Raw genomic sequence first — 26,587 nt, 5'->3', positions numbered from 1 at the left:
TGAAAAGGAAAGCAATCACTTGTCATTTTGCATAATTGCCTGCAGCAGGAACATCTCTTCGCTGGGCTCCACCTGCTCAGCCGCCTGCAGATCTGGGATCCGGTGTGCCCTCACCGCTCTAGCGGTGGCTGGGGCTGCAGCCTGCAGGGAGAAGCAAGAAGCATCAGTTGACAGAGGCTGCCGACCCGTACCTGTTCCCTCTCTGCTCTGTCACCCTCCTCTGGCGGTCCTTCCACCTTCCTCTGTCCTCTGAATGTCCTCTTTGCCCGTCTTATCCCTTGGCTGAGCAAAGCCATCCCCTCGATTCAGGAAAGGGCAAGGAGCCTTCCTCATTCAGGAAATCAGATCAGTCTTCCGGTCTGCAGCACGCAGAAGCACATAATCTGTCTCCCTCATTTATCATTCCCTTTGTTTGTGATTGCTGCTAAAGTCAGTATTATTTCTTTTTTTTAAGTTTGTTGTTGTTGTGTGTTTTGTTTTGTTTTTTGAGACGGAGCCTCGCTCTGTCTCCCAGGCTGGAGTGCGGTGGCGCAATCTCTGCTCACTGCAAGCTCCGCCTCCCATTTTCACGCCATTCTCCTGCCTCAGCCTCCGGAGTAGCTGGGACTACAGGAGCTGCCACCACGCCCAGCTAATTTTTTGTATTTTTTTTTTTTTTTTAAGTAGAGACAGGATTTCACCGTGTTAGCCAGAATGGTCCTGATCTCCTGAGCTCGTAATCTGCCCGCCTTGGCCTCCCAAAGTGCTGGGATTACAGGCGTGAGCCACTGCGCCAAGCCAAGTTTGGTTTTTTAACCATGCTGTTCCAGCAAAGATGGGACCTCAAACTACCACTGCAAGCCCATGGACTTCCCAGAGAGGGTAACGGCTTGCTCTTCTTTCTGGAATGTCCATGCATTTGGGTTTTGATCAGCAGTTCCCTATTGCTCTAACTGATTTTAAGCTGTTCCTATGACAAACTTAGAGACAGCGTCGGTGTCTGCTGCTGTGTCCCCAGGTATTGTGTGGGTGGCACAGATCTGGGCAGTTAGATGGAGCTCTATGCATGAGATGAAGCCACACTGGCGTGAAGCCTCGCTGCCCTGTTTGAGTGAGGCAGTCCCTGCTGCCCGAATGCGTGAAGGTACAGCCATTCAGGTAAGCTGAGCTATTGAGTTACATAGAGGAAATAGATTTGCATTTGTCAGGCAGACATTTATACAACACCACGATGTTTTATACATTATGCTTGTTTTAATAAAACTGAAATTCTAAAAAAAAAAAAAAAAAAAGAAAAGAAGATGTTTAAAGATCCTGTATATAATCCTGAACCACTCCATACACTGAAATGGCTCAATTAATGCTAACTCTTGTAGAGACTTGTAAAAATTATTTATAATTCATTTCTACCAAGTAGCATCTGAGGGTTGTGTTGGAATTTTCCCAGGAATTAGGGGCTGTATAAAACATCCAACTTACTAATAATGTTACCCAACTGCATTATTATCTTCTGTCCCCTATCTCTACAGAGAAAAAAAAAATGTACTATTTAGGAATTACATTTGTGTCTGAAAAGGGATGACCCTTCATGTTTTAGAATAACAACATCTTCACATCAGCAGGCAGTGATGTAACAATTAGGGCTTTTTGAATGGTAGGCTAAGGTGTAGTACAGGAGACTTGTCTTTGAATCAGATAAAATTGATTTACCATCTGATATATTTTGGCTGTGTGCCCACCCAAATCTCATCTTTAATTGAACCTCCCATAATCCCCATGTGTCATGGGAGGAACCTGGTGGAAGGTCATTGAATCATGGGGGCGGGTTTGGCCCTTGCTGTTCTTGTGATAGTGAATAAGTCTCACAAGATCTGATGGTTTTATAAAGGGCAGTTCCCCTGCACATGGCTGTCTTGCCTACTGCCATGTAAGATGTGCTTTTGCCCCTCCTTGGTCTTCCACCATGATTGTGAGGCTTTCCCAGCCAGGTGAAACTGTAAGCCCACTAAACTAAACCTCTTTTTTTTTTTTTTTTGAGGCAGAGTCTCACTCTTGTCACCCAGGCTGGAGTGCAACGGCATGATCTCCACTCACTGCAACCTCTGCCTCCCAGGTTCAAATGATTCTCCTGCCTCAGCCTCCCAAGTAGCTGGGATTACAGGCACCTGCTACCACGCCTGGCTTTTTTTTTTTTTTTTTTTTTTTTTGCATTTTTAGTAGAGATGGGATTTCACCATGTTGGCCAGGCTGGTCTCGAACTCCTGACCTCAGGTGATCTGCCCACCTCGGCCTCCCTAAGTGCTGGGATTACAGGCATGAGCCACCGTGCCTGGCTAATCCTTTTTTTTTTTTTAAATAAATTACCCAGTCTTGGGTATATCTTTATAGCAGTATGAAAATGGACTAATACAGCATACTAATTCCGCCACAAGTCGTAAGAAGAGTAAGTTAACTCTTTGGTAATGTGAGAATAATAATGACCACTTCATGAAGTTCATATGGTCATCTCATGGGATAATGCATATGGCAACACCTAGTTTAATGCCTTAGATACAGTGGGCAACAGAGTAATAAATGTTTTAAGTAGCACATGCATAAATACTACCACCTTTGTCCTTTTTTTGTGGATGTAGGCTTGTATATTTAAATGGTAGATAAAAAATAAAATGAAGAAAGTGTGAACACTAGGTTGTTGACCTATTTACACAGTCATAATGCCTAGCACAACTGCTTGTACTTAGCTTCACATTCTATTGTACAGATTTGGGCAGTTTGTTGTAATTTTTATGTTTTTTTACAGGGTTTAGTACTCTGTAGATGGTAAGCAACAAATACAATAGAGCACATTTTATGCTATTTATAGGTCTAAAATATCTCTTTTAAAACAATTGGTCAAACAGACTACAATTTATAGTGGCATATGTTAAGTTACCATCTATAGTCTAAGGTTCAGAATATTTTTTTCTTGGTGAAGCAGCACTTTCTTTTTATCACCCATCCACTATTTTTCAGGATTTAATAAATTTTGCATAATACAAAACACAGGCATCTACTACAAAGCCAGGATGTCTGTTGGTATTACACACATACACCTGTGAATATACACACCTATTAACAAGCCCTTGAAATATTCACATAGTCACATTGCTCATCTGAGGAAAATCCATATCACTGTACATGGCTTATATGTAGTGAATAGAATTATATAATATATGTGGCTTTTTGAAACTTATTCATATGCTGTAAATAAATGATATTATTGCAGTTGCCAAAGGATTTTGCCTCAGTCTCACTCAGCCTCGTCCTTAAAAATCAGGAGTGCACAGGCCAGTTGTGGTGGCTCATGCCTGTAATCCCCACATTTTGGGAGGCTGAGGCCGGTGGATCACAAGGTCAGGAGGTGGAGACCATCCTGGCTAACACAGTGAAACCCCATTTCTACTAAAAATACAAAAAATTAGCCAGGCGTGGTGGCGGGCGCCTGTAGTCCCAGCTACTCGGGAGGCTGAAGCAGGAAAATGGCATGAACCTGGGAGGTGGAGCTTGCAGTGAGCAGAGATCACACCACTGCACTCCAGCCTGGGCGACAGAGCGAGACTCTGTCTCAAAAAAAAAAAAAAAAATCAGAAGTGCACAGATAAAATGTATTATCTTTAGTCATAGAAGTCCTAATTCTGGACCAAAAATATTTACTTGTTAATTCAGTGTAGATCCAATGTGACTGCAATGTAAGAATGGATGGTACTCTGTCTCATCAATAGTACTATTATTTTTCCTATGGCTCCAAGTGCCAATCAGTCAAAGAAAATCTCCATCTCTGTTGCATTTACGTTTCTGAAATCTTCATTTCCTAGAAAGAGGTACAAAGGTAAATAATTACAATAATGATATGGCCTCAGAAGGTTATTTTTAAGTAACCATCAAAAAGGACACATAATGTTCAGACCCAAATTTAATATATTATAATTTAAAAATGTAGGATTTGGCACACAGTAGGCTTAGTTCTTGCCTTTTCCTTGATAGGAAAAGTTGAGCATGTTCTATAGACTTTGATCTCAGAGTCTTATTCTGTAATCTGAATAGAATAGTACTTCCCACGTAGATCATCCTGACAGTGACCCTGGATGAGTTCACTGAAAAGTTTATCATGCAGAGCCTTTTCTTCTTTCCCTTGAGTGCCGTCAAGTTAACTGTGGCAATTACTATAGGAATCGGAAGGGCAATGGGCCTGGGATAGTATGACCTCGGTAAAACTTTGTTTCTTATCAGTTAATATTTGTTTCACCTGGACAAGTCACTTAATCCCCCCAAACTATAGTTTATTCATTATAAGAATTCTTCAAAAAAGAAAGAAAGAACAGTTTCTTTCCTAGTTTGACTACCTCACTAGTCTGTTGAAGGTAAATAAAAAACTAGATTTCAAAGTGCTTTGTAAACTGTATCAAAAAGCCTTTAAAGAATATAGCCCAGGCCAGGTGCGGTGGCTCACTCCTGTAATCCTGGCACTTTGGGAGGCCAAGGCGGGCAGATCACGAGGTCAGGAGATCAAGACCATCCTGGCCAACACAGCAAAACCCCATCTCTACTAAAAATACACAAAGAGTTAGCTGGATGTGGTGGCAGGTGCCTGTAGTCCCAGCTACTCCGGAGACTGAGGCAGGAGAATCGCTTGAACTCAGGAGGCAGAGATTTCAGTGAGCCGAGATCACGCCACTACACTCAAAAAAAAAAGAATATAGCTCAGCAGTTAACTGGCAGGGACTTCCAAGTTGTTTTGTTAAATAAACAATGTTGATATGTTGGGAAATATGTAAAAAATGTTTGATTTTAAACAATGATAAAAACTATACATACGCCCATATATAAAAATATATTTTTATAGTATATTTGTATCTATATATTTACATGTAAATACATCTGTAGATATATAATGGTGGAATTCCATCAGCATAGATAAATATCAGCAATCCTTACATGGGCCAGGTAAAGTAAGGATGGTGGAAGAAGAGAAAATATTGGCATTAGAACAGCAAACAAACCGAAAACTTACAAAACAATTTCCTGAAAATAAAAACTATCTATATCCAAGATAAGTATATGTGTGTGATATAATCTATGTTAATCTGAAGTATATAAATATTGTTTGCATGTTTTTGTTTATAGACATAAACTATATAAGGATAATCACCAAACATTAGTGGTAGCCATCTCAGAGTGAAATATGGTGGAGGAATATGTTTCCATTTTATTCCTAAACATAGTTAGTATTTTTCATTTTTGTTCAATGAGCACATATTATTTATAAAATTTTAAAAATGCACGTTTTTATTGTGAAAACCAAAACACATTTACTAACAAATCCAAGGAATTATTATCCACTATACCAGGCATTTTTATAACCTATGTTCTGTTATTTCTCCTACTTTTCCTACTGTAGACATTATTAGTTGATTATAACCTCCTTTCTTATTAAGACTAGACACAACCTCATAATTCTTCCTCACACAGTGCAACAGGAGCTACTATTAAGTGATGAGAGATGGTCAGTTAAATGAAATAATGTCTCGCTATCAAGGCATTAATTTACTTCCTTGAAGGGATAACCCTGGATTTTCATTTCTGCAACTGCATTGCATCAGCAACATTTTAGCCAAATGTGTGCAGAACAAATGAGTATTTTATTAAGATAATAATTACAATTTAAACAATGGTTATTTTCACTAATGATATTAGGCAGTAATTAATACAAAATTAATTGTTCACATATGTCAATCTTCAACAGGGAAAAGGTCAATGAAAATAAAATGATATTTAAAAAGAAAACTCCTAACATAGAAAAATTAGACACATAGATCAAAATTGTGTGGTTATGCTCCCATTACTGCTGAAGAAACAGTAAGATATTCACTTATTGGTGAAATAGATTATGATTTCAGTGAAATTATTTAAAGCAAGATTTCCAGCATGACATTGCTCTCTAAATTCATAGTAATTTTCTGTAAATAACTGTACCTCAGACTCATTTGCCTTATCTGTAGAATGGAACTAAAGCAATCCCTCTCCTTCCTCAAAAGATTGAATACATGTGAAAATGCTCTGCTAACAACTAAGCAAGATAAAAATGTAAATAATTGTGATTATAGATGGTTACTACTGCATGTCATTTATATAAGAAAAATGACATGCCAGTCATAACAAAACTTGGTAGAATTGGGTAAAGGTGATCCTCTTGGGAGAAAAGATGGTTTCTGTACGAGCAACTTAGTTTTGTCTTTTGATTAGGCATCTTCAAATTGTTTAACATCATAATCAATTATGGATAATGACAATTGCATCCTGTAACTGTGCAATAAATGGTTGTGGTGTTGAATTGCATAGGGGAGGGCCAGGAGTATATATCTTCAGATTCTTACTTTATTAAAATTCAAAATTCAAACGTTTTGAAGCCTTCTATTACTATTTGTAAAATGGAAAAAAAAATCAAGACACATGGAATAAAATGGTTAAGAATACAATTTGTTTAGATAGTTTGAAGAAATGACTTGTTTGATTATAGCTCCCTAGATTCCTTTACATTAGTAAACATTGTCTGATAAGCCACAGTATATAAACCTTGTGTTGGATTGTTTAGGAAACACTGTGGGAGAAACAAAATACTCAAAATAAGTTAAATTTGAGGTGGTTCATAAGTGTCTTTATAAAGATAAAATGCATAGCAGGGGCTCAGATTTTAGTTTTATCTAACATATATTCATTCAATAGTTACCCTGTACTAGGAACTGTGGTAGTTTAAGATACAGTTCTTCCAATAAGAGAGATAGATTTTAGAGAAAAGAAATGATACACTATTAGGACTGCACAAAATGATATTTCAGAAGGAATCCTAGGGCATATAGCTGTACAGAGAAGACCCTCCCTCTGCTATCTACACACAACAATTCTATTAGTTCAGACAGGAAAGACTTTTTGAATGAGGTGATCTTTGAGTTGCGTTTTAAAGAAGAAGAAAACAGCTGAATTAGAGAAACAGAGCCAAAGAATGAAAGGGTGAATCAAAGAAAAGGCAAGAGTAAAAGTAAAATTTCATTCAGCTCAAATTTTGAAGTCAGTGCCTTTTAAATATATTAGGTATGTAAAGGTGAGATACATATTATTTTGTCCCACTATTATTTTATTTTCATTTTTTATGTATGCTCTATAGAGGCCCAGTATAATTAAATGGTATGTCAGGATTGGAATTCAATTCCATTCTGATCTCTCTTTCATTTTCTTAATATTAACACTTCTTTCTATTTCAACTCCTTACTTCTTGCAGACATGGAAGAAGAAATAAGCATAAAAGCCTTAAATTTTCTTTCTAGTAGTAAGAGTGAGATTAGAATTTTCCATACTAATTTTTCTTTTTCTTCTAAGACCAAGATAGGGACTTACATAAGGGTTAGTGGTGCCTAAGGAAAACGTGAATAAAATGCTGATCACTGACCATTTCTTATCAAGTTGAGGTCCTAATCAGTCCTCAGTTTCTTTCAGAAAATATTACCTTGTGGGTAGAATATTGTCAAACATCATGCCAGAATATCTTGCAGAAGAGGGGCAAATAAGGAAATATTCTCAGAGAATGTAATAAATGCTACAATGTAGACCAGTACAAAGTACTGAGGAAATGACCAACACTGTGAGAATGCTGGGGAGGGTGTCATGGGAAGATCATATTTAAGAGAGGTTTTAACGGATAAACAGGCATTTCTTTTTCAATGTAGAGGGGGAATAGGACATACTCTATTTTGAGTGAACCTCTTAAATGAAGACACCACAATGTGTGAGTGGTGTTTTGAGTGAAGAATAATCAACCTGCAGTCTGCCACTAATGGGCATTTAGACTGATTCCACGTCTTTGCTATTGTGGATAGTGCTGCAATAAACATATGCATGCATGAGTCTTTATGATAGAATGATTTATATTCCTTTGGGTATATATCCAGTAATGGGATTGTTGGGTCAAATGGTATTTCTGTTTTTAGGTCTTTGAGGAACTGCCACACCCTTTTACACAATGGCTGAACTAATTTATGCCCCTACGAACAGTGTATAAGTGTTCCTTTTTCTCCACAACTTCACCAGCACCAGTTATTTTTTGACTTTTTAATAATAGCCATTCTGACTGGTGTGAGATGGTATCCTTAGCAAACGGACGAATAGTTAACAGGAACAGAAAACCAAGTACAGCATGTTCTTACTTATAAGTGGAGCTAAATGATAACACGTGGAGGCAAACAACAGACAACGGGGCCAATAGGATGGTGGAGGGTAGGAGGACGGAGAGGATCAGGAAAAATAACTAATAAGTATCAGGCTTAATACCTGGATGATTACATAATCTGTACAACTAATCCCCATGACACAAATTTACCTATGTAACAAACCTGTATAGGTACCCCAAACTTAAAATTTTAAAAAGATATTAATTTATGGGACTGTCTATACTGCTAGGTAGAATCTGATTGTGTCCTCCCTAGTATCCCAGAAGTCTAGCAGAGGAAGATTGCTTCGGGGCTGTTTGGAAAGACACGATGATGGCTTCATTTTTTCTTCTAGCATGATGGATCAGTATCAGTACAGGATGCACTGGTCAACTGACCATCAGTGGAACAAAATCACTTAAGGACATTCATAAAGGATAGCTGCTCTCTCTAACTCTGTTTCTCTTTCTAGACACACACCACATTCACACACACATGCGTGCGTGCACACACACACACACACTTACACACTCCTGATTGTTTCTATGGCTATGTTGATGCACAGTCTGAAAATTACATGTGACACATATCTTGATTCTGCCACTTATGAATTTAAAGGTCAAGAGTAAGTTAATCCATCTTTCTGAGCATTCATTTTTCCTCATTTGTTAACTGGAGTGATAATACCTCCCTACCAAGGTTGCTGTGAGAATTTAAATATAAACAATATATTTGATAACCCTTGACATAATCTAACAGACAGCAAGTGCTCAGTAATTTTTTCTTCCTTTCACTTTCTTGAGGGAAATTTTTTGTAGCTTACAGATTCTTGGTCACCAATACCAGGGAAATAAATTACTTCTCTGTATGACAAAAAGAGGTAAAAGTACAGATGATGGGTACAGTATTCTTACTGTGCATGAATACCACTGACACTTATTAGGTCCACCCCAGGTACCAGACACTTTGGTTAATCTTGGAGACACAGGATTGTGAAGGAAAAGACCCCTTCCTCAAACAACTCACAACCAATTAAGAGCAAGACATACATGAATCACAGAAAGTTAGGTAACAAAATGGAATTAAAACTCAGAATAGACTTGCTTACAAAATCTCTAATGGGTCCAACACTCATTAATATGTCTAGAACACTTGTTGCTAGATGATATTTAATTAGTGAATGAATTTAGACTAAAAACTTGATACAGTTCTGTGTCACTCAGGAAATCAGTTTGTGTGGGAATATTTTCAGACCAAAGAGCATGAATCAATTTCACTAACCCCAAATAAAAGATGCATTTGAGAAAACAGGAAAGTACTGTCATCTGAGAGACAGTTATTTTTTCAACTTAATTTTGTTTCTTATTTTGTCTGTCTTTTCTGAAGATTAAGACTAACTCCTTTTTTTCCCACCTAGCTTTGACGTTTGTGTGTAGGGTCTGTAGATGGTATAAAAATAACTTTTTCAATAATATATGCTGTTTCATATAGACAGAACTCTCTCAGTAAAATATATATGAGAACATTTCTTCCAGCCACCAGCTATGATTCATTTATTACCCAGTTGGCCAGAGTTCTTGGGAAAAGAGAATGGTCATTTCTCTCAACATCCACCCCACAATTCTCCAACTTTTACCCTTTTTCTAGTAATAATGCCAATCATACCTTATTAGATATTTTCTTACCCCCACCCCTCAACCAAAGTGTTTTCCTGCTCCACCTGCCATTCTGACTCAGTGATTATTTTCTGGTATTATAAAACCAGACCAAATTTTGCTTAGAAAATGTAAAGTAAAATCTTTAAAAGGGGTGCTTTTAAATGGTGCTTATTGATAGCTACTATCATTTTTCTCAAGCAACATTCCTTTGATGTGGCAGACGTAATTTCAAAGGATTTTAGAAACATTCAGATGTTCAACTGACTTTATATATTGACACAGTACAATCAAGAATTTCACTGTGAGCCTTCCATTTGCCATAAATAATATAGTATGCAGTCAACAGAGGATAGACAACCAATAGGGAACTATTAGAAGGGGTCTGCAGTAATTTTTAATGTCATAGTATATTTCTGATGCTATCAAAGACTAAACCAAGAAAATGTTCAGATAAGAATAAAAATTCATATAGTAGGTCAGTTTGTTTTGAGTTAATTAGAATTAGAATTAGAATTAATGATACAGGTGAAATAAACAGAGGTAGCAACTTGGCAATAATGTCTATACTCCAGCTTTAGAAAGGTACAGTTCAATGATCATAATAATCAGAAATATGCTAATGGACGTTTAAGAATAAATGCAAATGGCTCTCCTGGGATGGATATTTTGAATGTCTGTACTACTTTGATTAATACTGTTATGACAAAAGGCGCAGTCCATAGTTGCAAGTACAGTAAGGTCTTGTGTTCTGAATGAGAAATGTTAGGAATTAGAAAGTTTTCTTCTCTTTAATATTAAGTATGTTCTTTTTGATGACATTCCTTTCTAAACCAGCTTTCGGGCATACTTACAGAAGCGTTAAAGAAAATATGATATGTTTAAATTATATAAGCATAAAGCTGAAAGGGACCTTTTTAGTCTAATATTTTACAGATAATGGGAGTGAGATTTAGAGAAATGAGGGAATTCTACTACAGCCACACAGATAGTTGATAGCAACACCAGAATAGAAATAAACGTCGTTCCACTACTGCAAAAATATATTGGCAGCTTGGAGTTCTCCTCTTTCTACACAACCAACCTGCCCCTGTGCTAGCTCACCTCTTCCTTCATCACCACTATAAATTGCAGTTGGAGGCAGTCACTGAAAAATAAAAGGAAGGAAGCTAAATTAAAAGTCAAATATTCGTGTTACTTTCTGATGCTCAGTTCTACTTAACTTATTCCCCAGGTGAAACTTTAAGGAAAAAATTTTTATTTTTTAGTTAACATAAAACACTTGTTTGAAATCTAAATTCAGGATGGACACGGTGGCTCACGCCTGTAATCCCAGCACTTTGGGAGGCCGAGGTGGGCAGATCACTAGGTCAGGAGATCGAGACCATCCTGGCTAACACGGTGAAACCCTGTCTCTACTAAAAATACAAAAAATTAGCTGGGCGCGGTGGCGGGCGCCTGTAGTCCCAGCTACCCAGTAGGCTGAGGCAGGAGAATGGCGTGAAGCTGGGAGGCGGAGCTTTCAGTGAGCCGAGATCGTGCCACTGCACTCCAACCTGGGCGACTAGCAAGACTCCGTCTCAAAAAAAAAAAAAAAAAAAAAGACATCTGAATTCATAGCAAAATATGATGTTTATAAAACAAGTTTCATATGTCACTGAAAAAAAGTCTCCAAGGATCCTTTGCCTGTAGAAATATTTTTCTTGTTCTTCATTCTTCTCTAGACTTTATAGTACAGTTGTTTCTCTGTATTAGTGTGCAGCTGAGCTCAGGATCTCCCATGAACACTCAAATCTAAGATGTTGCACGTTCTTCATATAAAATGACAGAGTATTTGCATATTACCTGGGTACCTCTTCCCCTATACTGTAAATCATCTCTAGGTTACCTATAACACTTAACATGATATAATCATACATGTTCAGTACAGAAGAAACCTTTTTCTAAATATTTTTGATCCATGGTTCATTAAATCCACACATACAGAATCCATGGATACAGAGGGCCTACTCTATGTAGAAATTGTTTTCAAGATCAATCTTGTAAGAAAAATTCTAGTAGAACATGAACATATGGAGATAGTATGCTTTAAACCTTGTAAGATGATTTTTACATTGCACTTAGCCTTTTATTCTGCTTTTTGGAGTTAATGGTTAAGTGATGTATTAGCTTTTTTTTTTCATCTTGCACATGTGGAATGGGAGGTGAGTTTGATAAAACAACTGTACGAGGGAACAGCTGGAGACACTATGTCATAAATGCCCAATGTATAACAGGTAGACTCCTTAATCGGAGTCCTAAATACTCTGCAAAAATCACAAAGTAGTTTAGTCTCTTGCCTTTATAACTCCAGAAAATATCATCTACTACCATAGTTTTCACTACTACCTATACCTCTTCACAATGCCAGAATGTCCTACCGAACATTCATACCCAAGGCTCTTCAAATTTAATGTGTCCAAGTGCACACATTACCTTTTCCCTTATTTTCCTTCTGGTCCTCTTAGTTTCTATACAGTTCAGCCTTACCAGAAATTCTGAAAATCAACAAGCTCTCTATGTGTTCTCTTTTCTTTCAACTATCACTACCTTAGTGCAGACTTTTCTTGTTCTTTATTTGGACTAATATTTAGATACTTCAACTACTCTCCTCCCTATCCTCTCTTTTTTATAACAATTATTCTGCCATTGATGTAAGAGTATTTTGCGAAAATTTAAATCTGTGCATGATCTATCCTGGTTTCTAATCACCCAATGGCTTCCTATCATCTGCAATTTAATTTCCAAATAATTCTTAGTCATAGCTCCATGATAAACAAAAGCAAACTTAAACTAAATTCCCATTGTTCGGTAAGCTTGGAAATGCTGTGTATTTAACTTCCTTTAAACAATTAGTGTGTCAAAATATTTGCAAACGGAGCCATATGAAAACCTGCTTGACTCAGTTGGGCACAAGTGTCTTATAATTAATTCTATATACACATGTTCAGCCACTTCTCTTGTTACCCTACTCTTACATTTTTTACAATGTACTATGCCTTACCACGTATTTGTTGTTTGGTCTCTGTAAGAGCCTATGAAAAAAATATGTTACCCTTGAAATATCTCAAAGTATACCGTTGAAAACAGGTACTATCTTTTCTGTATCTCTATATCCCCATTACCTACAATGCCTGGCACACAGTAGACTCTCAGTGAACATGTGATGACAGAATAGGTGGAGGGATGGGTGATGGTAAACTGATAGGCTGCAGTCATGCATTATTCTAGACAATGAGGGAGAAAAGCTCTACAGCAAGTTTGTCCAACCTGTGGCATATGGCCATATGTGGCCCAGGACAGCTTTGAATGCAGCCCAACAAAAATTCATAAACTTTCTTAAAACATTACAAGTTTTTTTTTGAGATTTTTTAAAGTTCATCAGCTATCATTAGTGTTTGTGTATTTTATGTGTGGCCCAAGGCAATTCTTACTCTTCTGGTGTGGTCCAGAGAAGCCAAATGATTGGACACCCCTACTCTATAAAGTATGTTCAACAAAACAGTTTGTGTAGAGAGACAATGGCAAGTGTCCATGGCTTTTTGTTCGGTTACCATTTCTTGCCTGAGGGGATATTTACCCTTCACATCTGAGGCTTCTCTGAAGGGACACACCAGCCATGAGGAGGTCGTCAGTGAGATACCTTTCTTTTGGAGAAAAAGGAAGATTTCAACTCAGCCTTGGTTTTAGCCATTTTCTCCAGAGATCTTGCCTGTTTCTTCTTTGTTTTGTTTTTATTTTTTTAATGCAGGGAAGTGAATTCTCAGTTGAGAAGACTTCATATTTCACAATATTCTAAATAAATATTAACCTCGAGGGACTGTTTTTGTTGTTGTTGTAGTTTTTGATTTTTCTTTTTTTTCTTTTTTTTTTGAGACGAAGTCTCGCTCTTTTTCCCCAGGCTAGAGTGCAATGGCGCGATCTCGGCTCACTGCAACCTCCGCCTCTCAGGTTCAGGCGATTCTCCTGCCTCACCCTCCCGAGTAGCTGAGATTACAGGTGCCTGCCAGCACGCTCAGCTAATTTTTGTATTTTTAGTAGAGACGGGGTTTCACCATGTTGGCCAGACCTCAGGTGATCTGCCCACCTCGGCCTCTCAAAGTGCTAGGATTACAGGCATGAGCCACCACACCCGGCCCATAGTTTTTAATTTTTCATATAGTTTTTTGGCTTTTTAAAATTTGTTTATAGCTTGTGGGCTCAAAAATGTCAAAGATGACTACGGGTCAGTGAAAATCTGCAGAACAGTTAATTGAATTAGGACTCCACAGTCTGGGCAAGGGTATTTAAAATTTCTCTTTGTAACCCTCATTTGAGAAGTCATTCTCATATTAATTAAAAAATTAGGGCTCATGTATTGAGACTGAGTCTTACACAAATCAATTGCCTTATTTCTCTGCTTTGTAATATTCACTCTTTAAAATGTTGGGAAATAGAGTATATATTTGATGCTATAGGAAATAAAACTGTTTTACTGCTAATATATTCATGATAGCATCCCGTAAGGCTTCAATGAGACTGCATGAAGAATATTAAATATCATCTCTAAATAAGGAAACAAAGATTCTGTTAAGCAGGAAATAAGACATTAGGGAAGTTACAAACACATGTTAATTGAAAGAAACATAAACTGCCAAAGACTAAAATACCAGAATAGCTAACTTGGGTAAGGGCTATTATATGTATTTGCTAAGCATTGATGTTAAAGGAGGAGAGGAAAGATATTTAGACTGATTCAGTAAGTATAAAAAGTGAAATGTGATGGGGTTATTAAGTGGACACTTTTCACTAGGTGATCAGTAGTGACCTAACCTGCCCATGAAGATGAGGGTATAGATTACTCCTTGAGAACTGTAGTGAGAGATGTCGCTAAGATTTTTGGCTTTTTTGTTTTAAGTCATTTAATATTTGGCTCAATAGTTTTTGCTTTCTTTTTTTAATATAAAAGGGGACTCTAATCTTGGAGGAAATAATCATTTCCCGTGTGATTCAGTGATTCTTTTGTTTCTCTTGTATCCAAAATCACAAATTTAGAATTGAAGGGGACAGTAATAATAATAATAATGACATGTATAATGCAAAACTTATTTAGGTTTACAGAATGTTTACAGTTTGCAAAGCAATTGCATTTGTGTTCTCTTTTTGATGCACACCAAAACATCACAGAGCAGGTGACATTACCACCATTTCAATCAAGAGGATCCCAGAGATAGTGATTTTATGAAGACACAACTCAGTGTAGGAATTTTTTTTAAATAGCAACTACTGCCACCATATTTTACTGCCTGCTATATTACACAAATTGCCTAGGTACCTTATAGATATTTCTGTTCCTCATAACAATCTTCTGTAGTAAGGATTACAAGAGTGACTTACTGATAATAAAACTAAAAGTCAAAGTGGTTAAGTGACTTTCACAAGGTCACGCAATTAGTTTTAGAACAGTCTCGCCACCAGGTGATGTCCTAGCTTTTAACGGTGATGTTTCCATTTTTACCCTAAGAAACTGTCACCCAGGTCCTACTTACATACTTCCAGGATTAGACAACTTTTTGTGTACTTAGTATGATTTATTATCAACTATTTTGTAAAACATGTTCTTCAATGAGAATTTAAATTACAGCTCATTGTAAGATTGAATTAATATAGTCCCAAAGACTTCCTCTTCCACAGACAGCCTTTAATTCTGTAAGGAGATTTCAAGTATTCCAATATTAAATACAGCAAATAAGAAAATAATTGTTTTTGTTTGTACTGTGGACTTGAACCAGGCCATGATGCATCATGGTCCTCACCCATTGGCTCTTTAGTTATAGACATGTGATTTCAATGTCACTCACAACCTGAAAACTCTGGCAAGATCAACACTGCAGGTTGCTCTCATACTTGGCCTACTTCTATGAGATTTTCAAAAGCCCATCAGGCCCTCAAGTTTGTTAGGAATTTTAATAGGTCATTTCACCAGACATTTTATCACATACTTAAGAACCCTATAGAAATGCCTTACAAGTGAATGTAAGTATAGCAAAAACTGCAATTACTTTTGCACCAACCTAATACCTATAGTACAGAATGTAATGTACTCACAGGGATGGGAAACTCAATGCTGCCTATCCTCTGTTGAACTGAGAAAAGAGGAAATTAGCACATTTAATAATTACCCAAAACATATGGTTTTAATTTTCTTATTTGATAGGTGAGAGAGTCCAAACAAATTGATGCAAGTAGCACATCCCCAGTAGGTTTGTGCAAGTCTTTGAACCTAGATCTGACTCTTTCTTTTATATTACATTATCTAAGAAAAGGAAAACAAGCAAATCATTGCTGATCACTTCTATAACACAGACTGAATGAGATGAGGCTTTTTTTTTTTAAGTTCTTGTCGTGTGTGTGTATTTTTTAATCTATGTACTGGAGAGCTGGCATGAATCATTGGCCAAATAATGCCTGACTATCTCCAGAAAACTCAGAATGTTTGACTGATAAAATCAACATATAATGGATGGGTTTAGAAATATGAAGAGTCTCCTCAAAGAGAATGAATAGTTCCCAAGCCAGAACAAGACTTGACTCATTGGTATCAGCTGAGCTAAAGAAGAAAACTATGTTAAGAGAAAATAGGTTGTCAGCAATGGCAGCTGAGGAAAATGCAGAGAGAGGAAAACCAATGTTGGCAATGCATATCTGGACAGTGCCTAAGGAAAGAAAAATTGAATCTGGGTGATGTGAGCATTGTCTCAGAGGAGCTGAGTGTCCCTCTACAGTCCAATCCTCTCATATTACACACGCCCCTTCTGAGGAAGAGTCCTGCTACTAGAAGCACTCACTTCTGAGAATGTTGAATTGACCAAATTTTCTAGGAGATAGAGCCTTAACAGACTTAGTTTAAGAATAAGTCCTTATCAGGGTTCTTCTACTCTTTCTTGAAATAATTTATTTGCATAAACTTAGTAAGACAATCCTGGGTCAAGGACTGCTAATTCTACACGGAGGTGCTCCAAAGTCCAGATATTTCTAGGCTTTAGGGAAAACTATCTCCTTCACTATGAACGGAATGTTCAGAGTGGGCCATAATTTGAAACTGAAATAATACAATCCGAGATTTGGCGAAGGTTTAACTAAAAGACTTAGCCTGCTATGATGCTAGTGTTATATCAAACTAAATTTGGCCTGAGGATGTCTCCATACTCGAGTCCTGACATAACAAACTGCTACCTAACTTAGTGCATAAACTGAAAGCCTAAATTAGGAGTATACTTACGTAACAAACAGCTGAGGGTCAGCCAACCACAGCAGTTGAGCTTCAGTCAATTGCAGAGGGCCAACAGTTCAAACTATGTTCCAATAAGGCAAATGCTGAAATATAATCAATCGAGCTGTCTCTGTACCTCACTTTCATTTTTTGTACTTCATTTCCATTTTCTATCCATAAATATTGTCTGACGACGTTGCAGACCAGAGTTCTTTGAACGTGTTTAGGTTCTGAGGGCTGCCTAGTTTGTGAATTGTTCCTTGTTCAATTAAATTTTATCAAATTTAACTTGCTTAAGGTTTTCTTCTGTTAATACTAGGATGCAGACTGCCTCCAGCGTATTTGTATTAGTCAGGGTAGGCTAGATTATGGTGACAAATAGATCTAATTAAATGTGGCTAGCTCAACACAGTAGAAGCTTATTTATGTTCATCTTAATGACTGGTCCTAGTTTGACAGGAATAAGTTGGTGGTGTTATTTGTGTTTCGTTTTGCAGGAAGAAGCTCTTCTCCACACAGCCAGTCTTGAACCAAGACTATGACAGCTCTGGCATCCCCAATTCATAGTTCCCAAGGTTACCCTTGAGATCCTTTCCCAAGTTGAAAGGAGCAAAACTCATAAAGGAACATGTGGAAGGGTTTTATGTTCATCCCTACAAGTTGTATCACTTCTGATCATATTTCATTAGCTACAATTCAATTCTATTACCAATCTAACCACAAGGGACATTGGAAAATGTAGCCTGGCTGGGTTTCTGGGAAAAACAGGAGAAAAGATTTGCCAACACCATTTATTACCAACTTAGGCAAAATGAATTCTACCTGTAGATCAGCTAATGTTACAGAAGGAATATATTAGGGGTCAAATAGGGTTTTGTAAGTTATCCCTAAAGCATTTCATGTGTGTGTGTGTGTGTTTGTGTGTGTGTGTGTGTTTGTGTGTGTTCGCATTTCTTGTTGTTACAGCATTTTTCATCTTTTTCCTCCTGTCCTTTCTTCTCTGGTAAGGCTTATTGGAAGAGATAGGTTTTGGAGTGAGATGCTCTGGGGTTGCAGTCCAGCCAGCTCTTCTACGTTTCAGCTATATAGACTCACCAAGTTTTAGTTTCCTCATCAGTCAAATTCGGGCAATAATATGTAGGCACTAGAAGGCCAGTCTGGCATGAGATAGGATGTCAGAGAGATTCTGTGTTTTGGCCCCATCTGCTCATATTAGAAAAATCTGGTCACTAGAAAAATAGGAAATGAAATAACTTTGATCTTGACTTTAAAAAGTCACTTAATATTTTTATTCTTTATTTTTCTATATTACCTTTATTAAGATATGCTTTATAGACAACAACATTCAACAATTTTAAGTGTGCAATTTGATAAATTTTGACAAGTGTATACAGTGGTATAATGATAGTCATAATAGATAATATTAACATGTATTTCCAATACCCCAAAGCTTCCCTCATGTTTCCCTTCAGTCAATACATTCCCATTCCACCCCGGCCCTGATAACCATTGGTATCATTTCTGTCAATGCAGCTTTTCCTTTTGTATAATTTCATATAAATGAAATCATAACGTTTTTTTATGTGTGGCCTCTTTCATTTAGCTTGATGTTTTGACTTTTATCCATTCTTTGTGTATATCAATAATTTATTTTCAATGATGAATATTATTCTGTTGTATAGATATACTAAATTTATTTATAAATTCTATGCTTCAGGTCATACACATTTGTATTGTTTTTGGCTTGGCTAATGTGAATACATCTGCCACGAAAATTTGAGTACAAGTCTTTGTGTGGACATATATTTTCATTTCTCTTGAGTAAATACCTAGGAACTGGACTTCAATGTCCATCTGCTTTGTTTAAATGCTTAATAATTTATATGTGTTTGCTAGCCTGGCTTATATCTCTACATTGGGGAGGAAAACATTTTGCGTAAAAGAAAATAAATTTTGTTTACATGAATGGGATATGCCTCTATTAAATATTTAATACCTTGACTGCTTTATATAGTAATCTCTCAAGCTTGGCCAATGTGAATTTGCCAGACAAATAGCAATATAAGAGCTATAGTTAAGTTTCTTCCGTGTATTAAGTTTCTTAAGTTTCTTCCATGTATTAAGCACTGAACTTGGTAAGGTCTTAACAGTAGCAACAACAAGTATTTAAACCTTCACAACTCTGTCACTGAAAAATTTTTATGTCATTTTTAAAATGTAGAAACTTAGACATAGAGATTATTATACTTGCCCAAAGTAACTAATTAGAAAGGCGCACAGAATAAAGTCCAAACCCTGATCTACCTGACTTTCATTCCCAAACATTTTCCATTGATCTATGTTTTTGAAATTTCAAAGCTTCAGAAAACTTTCTGGCAATGGAGATCTCATTTGTGGTTTTGTCTGTAGGAAGAACCATCTGAGTGTCTTGCAGCTCCTCTCCCTTCACTAGGCATCCTTCTGCCTATGGCAGATTATGCAGAGCAGATATTGCCCGTTACTTTCTGCATTACATGGAGTCAATTTGGACCTTGACAAGTTATTTCCATCAGACTCTCAATACAAAATTTATGAAAATAGATATACTTAATATTTTAAATAATGAACGTTATAGCAATCCTAGATAATAGAGAAGTTTTCAAAAAATTAATCATCACCTCAAAAAGGCAACATAATCTCTCACAGTTGACAAACTCCTTAGCAACACAAACAAAGCCCTATAAATCCTCCTAACATTTTTCCCCTTCCCTTTAAGTGTACCATGTTAGGCTGACTCTAGATCATCTAAGTTTAATATCATTCATGATCTAGACAATGACAAAAAGAGGATAATAGGAGTTTTATGTATTTTAAACTGCCTTATCTTTATAAATAATATTGAAATTTCTCAGCTATTCTATCTATGCCTTGCGTGTAAGACAAGAATGGTGTTTTGCTCATAGAAAGTTCTCAAATAAGTACTTATTCTAGAGTACAAGGTCAATTTGTCACTTCCCCTTCCATTAGTTTTGATTATACCATCCTAGAATTATGAAGCTATTTTCTATTAATAAGGACTTTGTTTCAGCAATGGGTGAAGGAGAGAGTATTTGCAGATGTAACCTCAAATAGTATATCATGTGATTTAATAAAATAAAATAACTTCAACTATTTTCAATTTCATTATATCATTAAATTTATGATATTTATTTAGCAGGATGGGTGATCCAAGGAAGCAAGACATAGGTTCATTTGAGTAATACTAGAGGCAATAGTTAGGGAATTTTATAATTTCTCCACTGACAAACCAATATGTTTTTCCTACTTCCTCTCTGTTCTTCCCTTTCTAGTAAAGCTTACTGGAAGAGACACAGTCTTTGGAGTTGGATGATCTGGGATTGAAGGCTGGCTCTTTTGATTTATATCTACCTGAAGTCTTCAAGTTTTAGGTCTCTACTCACCAAAACAAAGATAATAATATCTACCTGTATGGCTGTTGTGAGAATTAAGTGGCTGCTTGTGCCACTCCCTAAGGTAGGAAACATAGGAGAGCAAGTTTAGGTGGGGAATATAAACTTTATTCCTGTGATGTGCTCAGGTGCCTGTGGGACATTTGTAAATTATTTAAAAGGTGGTGGGTGGGTAGGGTCAATCTGGGCAGCCAGATCAGAAGGGTAGAGATTTCTGAGGCATCAGATGGAATGACTGTTGTTTTCCCAAGGAGAGAATGTAGAGTCAGCAAGACTCTGGACACATAGGGTGGAGACCTGGGCACATCAGCATGTTAGGAGTGAGCAGAAGTGCCACAAAAGCAATGTAGAAGCTTCCAGAGAGGATATGCATAACCATGTTCTTCTGCATCTTTGTGGGCTAGAGTTGCGCACTGTGCTATTTTTATGAGGCTTTTGTTCAGTTGATTAAAAAAATAGTATCCTTGAAAAGAGCATTAGAGAACACCATGGGAAACTTATACTTGCCTAAACATTCAAGTTTTCTAAGTTGTTGACGACAGCTGGTTGAGCAGTCTTTTCTTCTACTCTCCAATTTACAGGGAAATGCTGCAAAGAATTTCTCACCAGCAGATGCTTTCCTTGTAGCAGAGGCTGCTTTGTGGGTGAAAGTGAAATGAGATCACCCAGGCTGTCTGATAGTGAAGTCTGCATCCTTGGCTTGATCTGGCCTCACTTTTGGCTCCATTTAATACATATCCTACTTATTGAGCATCTATCACATATTGGGTTGGGCAATTGGGACAAAATATGAGTGAGAACCAGTTTCTGCCAATGGAAATTTTACAATCTGGTGCAAAATTGAGCCATACCAATTTATGGAGACAAACATAAAAAAGAATGCCTAACACCACACCTGGCCCTGATTTTAAAATATTTTCTTTAACAGGAAGAGAGTTTTCAATTGTGTACCTTCTCTCTGTCTCAGGCAATATTAGATTTGTAACTGTATTACAGAAAAGGTATTATTACCTCCGTTTTTAAAAAGGGCAAATTAAGTCTAAGAGTCTTCAATTTGCCTAGGATTACAAAGCCAACAAAAGGTAAAGATAAAGTATTAGCTGGTTATATTGGACTGCAAAGCCGAGTTCATTGCACAACACTATTTAGAAATGCAGAAAACCAATTGTAAAATTTTAAATGAGAATACACGGTTTACCTGTTAAATTCAAGAGAGGAAGAGAGGACAGGGAGAAAGAAGGGAAGATGGTGAGGAGGAAAGAAAAAAAAGACAGGAAAAGGTAAGAAGAAAGAGAATGCAAAGAAGTAAAAAGAGTGAGGAAAGAAAGGTAAAAGAACTAAGAGATACAGGTGATAATGCTTTCCTGAGCTAAAGATAAGCATCCCTTCCAGCCAATGTTTATAAAAATTTCTTCCCCAGCGTTCAGAAGGTGAAAGAAGATCATTACTCAGTAGGACCTCTTCAAAGGGTGACTAAAAGCTATAGAGTTAATAATGTTAAAAAAATTAATTCCCAAAAATCAAGAAAAGCAGGAGAAATAAAATAAAGCTCAAAGGGAAAATAGAACCAAAGATAAAAATCAGACCATGCTATTACTAACTCAAAGACTTGAAACAAGAGCACAATAATATTTATAGACCTGTGGGCTGTGAAATGAAGGGATCTATTTCTCTGGCATGCATATGTCAAATGTAAATGTATGCGTGTATGGACTTCATAATTTGCCTATCCTACTTTTATTTGAGGATCTACAAAATGTGATAGAGAAATGTAAAACTTGAAGTTAGAAACCTTTGAGTATGGCTCTCATCTTTTACCCAATTATTTGGGAAAATAATTCATATCAACCTCAGGGTCTTCAACTGTAAAATTGAAACAATTAACATACAAGCCATATCTATGAAACTTGTTATGATCAATTATCTTGAATCAAATGAATTGAGGTAGTAGTGGCATAATGATTAAGATCATGGCTGTTTGGTAAGTACCAGGTTTGAATTAAGGACCTGCTGTTTAACACTAATCAAGCTGTTTTACTTCTGTAAGCATCATTCCCTTGTCTATAGAATGGGGATAATAACAGTACCTAAGTCATGAGGAGGTTATGGGAATTGTTTGAGATCATGTATATCATTGCCTCCTACAGTACCTGGTAAGCAGTAAGTTCTCAAAAAGTGCTATTTGATTATTGTAAGGATGATAGCAATGCATGACAATGACAAAGATAATCATCATAGTTATGGTGGGGAGGATCTAATAGCATCTGGGAAGACTTCCCTTACCTCATTCTTACCTTTGCAGGAGATACAAATGTCCACCTCGATGTTACTGTACAATTTTGAACATACTGAACATACTTTCACTATAGATCTTTGTTAAATAATGATACTGACAGGACAGAGGGAGTGATGATGCTATAAGATGTATTAGGCACAGTATAGGTAGATAGCACATTATCTATCAGCTTTTGATAAAGTACCTCAATCCTGAGCTGAGTCATATCAATACAATCTTTAAAAAGCTACTCTGAATGAAAACTCGCTAGCCATATGTAGAAAGCTGAAACTGGATCCCTTCCTTACACCTTATACAAAAATTAATTCAAGATGGATTGAAGACTTAAATGTTGGACCAAAAACCATAAAAACCCTAGAAGAAAACCTAAGCAATACCATTCAGGACATGGACACAGGCAAGGACTTCATGACTAAAACACCAAAAGCAATGGCAACAAAAGCCGTAATACACAAGTGGGATCTAATTAAACTAAAGAGCTTCTGCACAGCAAAAGAAACTACCATCAGAGTGAACAGGCAACCTACAGAATGGGAGAAAATTTTTGCAATCTACCCATCCGACAAAGGGCTAATATCCAGAATCTACAAAGCACTTAAACAAATTTACAAGAAAAAAACAAACAACCCCATGAAAAAGTGGGCAAAGGATATGAACAGACACCTCTCAAAAGAAGACATTCATGCTGCCAACAGACACATGAAAAAACGCTCATCATCACTGGTCATCAGAGAAATGCAAATCAAAACCACAATGAGATATACCATCTCACACCAGTTAGAATGGCGATCATTAAAAAGTCAGGAAACAACAGATGCTGGAGAGGATGTGGAGAAATAGGAACACTTTTACACTGTTGGTGGGAGTGTAAACTAGTTCAACCATTGTGGAAGACAGTGTGGCAATTCCTCAAGGATCTAGAACTAGAAATACCATTTGATCCAGTGATCCCAAGGGATTATAAATCATGCTACTATAAAGACACATACACACATATGTTTATTGTGGCACTATTCACTATAGCAAAGACTTTCAACCAACCCAAATGTCCATCAATGATAGACTGGATTAAGAAAATGTGGCACATGTACACCATGGAATACTATGCAGCCATAAAAAAGGATGAGTTTCTGTCCTTTGCAGGGACATGGATGACGCTGGAAACAATCATTCTGAGCAAACTATCACAAGGACAGAAAACCAAACACTGCATGTTCTCACTTATAAGTGAGAATTGAACAATGAGAACGCTTGGACACAGGGCGGAGAACATCACACCCCAGGGCCTTTCCTGGGATGGGGGTCACGGGGAGGGATAGCATTAGGAGAAATACCTAATGTACATGACGAATTAAGGGTGCAGCAAACCAACATGGCGCATGTATACCTATGTAACAAACCTGCACGTTGTGCACATGTACCCTAGAACTTAAAGCATAATAAAAAAAAAAAGAAAGAAAAAAAAACATACTCTGAACGGCCGCTTTCTCACATGGCCCTCTCCACCTTCAAACCAGCAATAGCAAGTGGAGTATTTTTCATTCTTTGAATCTCTCTGATTTTCTCTTCTGCTACCAGTTAACGACAATTCTGTGCTTTTAAAGAGTAATGTGATTAGATTTGGCTGATTTACTGAAGTAATCTCCCTTTCTGTGAACCAAAGGTCAATCGATTAGCAGCCTAATCATTGATTGATAGGCCTACTAATTGATTAGTAGTACGATTTTGACTGTATGTCTACTATAGATCTTATAACATAATCCCGTTGTCACTAAATTTCCTGCCCTTCTTTCCTGCCAATATGAGCATCATGAGGTTCTGTTCCCTCACTGCCTTAGACATAGTAGACTCTCAAAGAATATCTGCCAGCGGGGCGCAGTGGCTCACGCCTGTAATCCCAGCACTTTGGGAGGCCAAGGCGGGCGGATCACACGGTCAGGAGTTCGAGACCTTCCTGGCTAACATGGTGAAACCCCGTCTCTATTAAAAATACAAAAAAAAAAAAAATAGCCGGGCATGGTGGCGGGCGCCAGTAGTCCCAGCTATTCGGGAGGCTGAGGCAGGAGAATGGCATGAACCCGGGAGGCGGAGCTTGCAGTGAGCCGAGATCGCGCCACGGCACCCCAGCCTGGGCGACAGAGGGAGACTTCATCTCAAAAAAAAAAAAAAAAAAAAATCTGCCATAATATTCTGGGATTGCACACTTTAAACTCTAAAGCAGTAGAGGCATGCTCACTAGTGTAACTGTAGTTGTTTATATAGTTTTTTTTCTCCTTTTTTTTTTGTTTGTTTTTTGTTTTTTGAGACGGAGTTTTACTCTTGTTGCCCACGCTGAGGTGCAATGGCCCGATCTCGGCTCACTGCAACCTCTGCCTCCCAGGTTCAAGTGATTCCCCTGCCTCGGCCTCTCAAGTATCTGGGACTACAGCCATGTGCCACCACTCCTAGCTAATTTTGTATTTTTAGTAGAGACAGGGTTTCATCATACTGGTCAGGCTGGTCTTGAACTCCCGACCTCAGGTGATCCGCCCACCTCGGCCTCCCAAAGTGCCGGGATTTACAGGCATGAGCCACCACACCTGGCTCAATTTTTTTTTTAATAATAAGCACTCAGTGTGTTGTGAAGTTCTCCAGTATCACCGCCACCTGTGACTGCGAAAACAGCTGTTTTTTGTTTGGTATGAAAGCAAGCAGGAAGAAATTGACTTGGAACTGGAGGTATTTAATAACAGCACAAAAGATAAACAATATAAAACTTGTTGATGAAAATGTGGTCATAGAAGACTAGCACAACTATCTCCTGGGATCTCATTAGACAAGCAAAATCTCAGTCCCCACCTAGAACCTATTGAATTGGAATTTGCATTTAACCAAATCCTCAAGTGATTCCTCAGTTTGAGATGCCCTGCTCTAAAACCCTTGGCATAGTAACTGAAGTAGGCATGAGCTCTTTTTATGAATTATCTTCAGGAAAGGGCACTTGGAAGGAAGCAAACCTCTATAGATCAATTGCTATGTACCAAGCTCAGAATAGATGCTTTGATATGCATTTTACTTTAAACTACCCAGTGTTCTTATAAAGTGTATACTGTTATCATTCTTTTTTTTTTTTTTTTTTTTTTTTGAGACAGGGTCTCACTCTGTCACCCAGGCTGGAGTGCAGTTGTGCGATCTTGGCTCACTGCAACTTCTACCTCCCAGGATCAAGCGATTCTCCTGCCTCAGACTCCCAAGTAGCTGGGATTACAGGTGCACACCACCACACCCAGCTAATTTATGTATTTTTAGTAGAGATGGGGTTTCACCACGTTGGCCAGGCTGTGGAACTCCTGACTTAAATGATCCACCCACCTCGGCCTCCCAAAGTGCTGGGATTACAGACATGAGCCACCGCACCCAGCCATTATAATTCTTTTATAGACAAAACCCTGATGCTCAGTGACAATTAATAATGTAGTCAAGTCAAACAGTGAGCAAGTTGCAAAGTTTGAATATGACCTGATGATGCTACTTCAAATCCAGTATTTGCAGGAATCCTAAGCAGTCACATCAGGCTCGAATTTAGTGAACCTACTCTTAGTCTCCAAACCTCCCATCCAGAGCCATTACAGAGAAAACTACCTCTAACTGAAGTTGCGCATTGGAACACCTTGTTTAAAGGCCGGGCTTCAAATTCA

General features: G+C 37.6%; 1 long non-coding RNA gene across 2 annotated transcripts; it reads left to right on the top strand.

Moving 5' to 3' along the window:
* The first annotated feature begins 730 nt into the window (after positions 1 to 730).
* LOC105376496 (uncharacterized) lies at positions 731 to 26,587 on the top strand. Of its 2 annotated transcripts, none has more exons than XR_930823.1 (3): positions 731 to 1,137; positions 20,495 to 20,678; positions 26,433 to 26,587. It is a non-coding gene; the product is annotated as an uncharacterized LOC105376496 (long non-coding RNA). The 2 variants fall into 2 exon arrangements; XR_930824.1 differs by lacking the exon at positions 26,433 to 26,587 and adding an exon at positions 21,196 to 21,274.

Source organism: Homo sapiens, chromosome 10 (assembly GCF_000001405.40).
Source record: "Homo sapiens chromosome 10, GRCh38.p14 Primary Assembly".
In the NCBI taxonomy this organism is placed as follows: Eukaryota; Metazoa; Chordata; class Mammalia; order Primates; family Hominidae; genus Homo; species Homo sapiens.
This window is presented reverse-complemented; position numbering and strand designations above follow the sequence as displayed.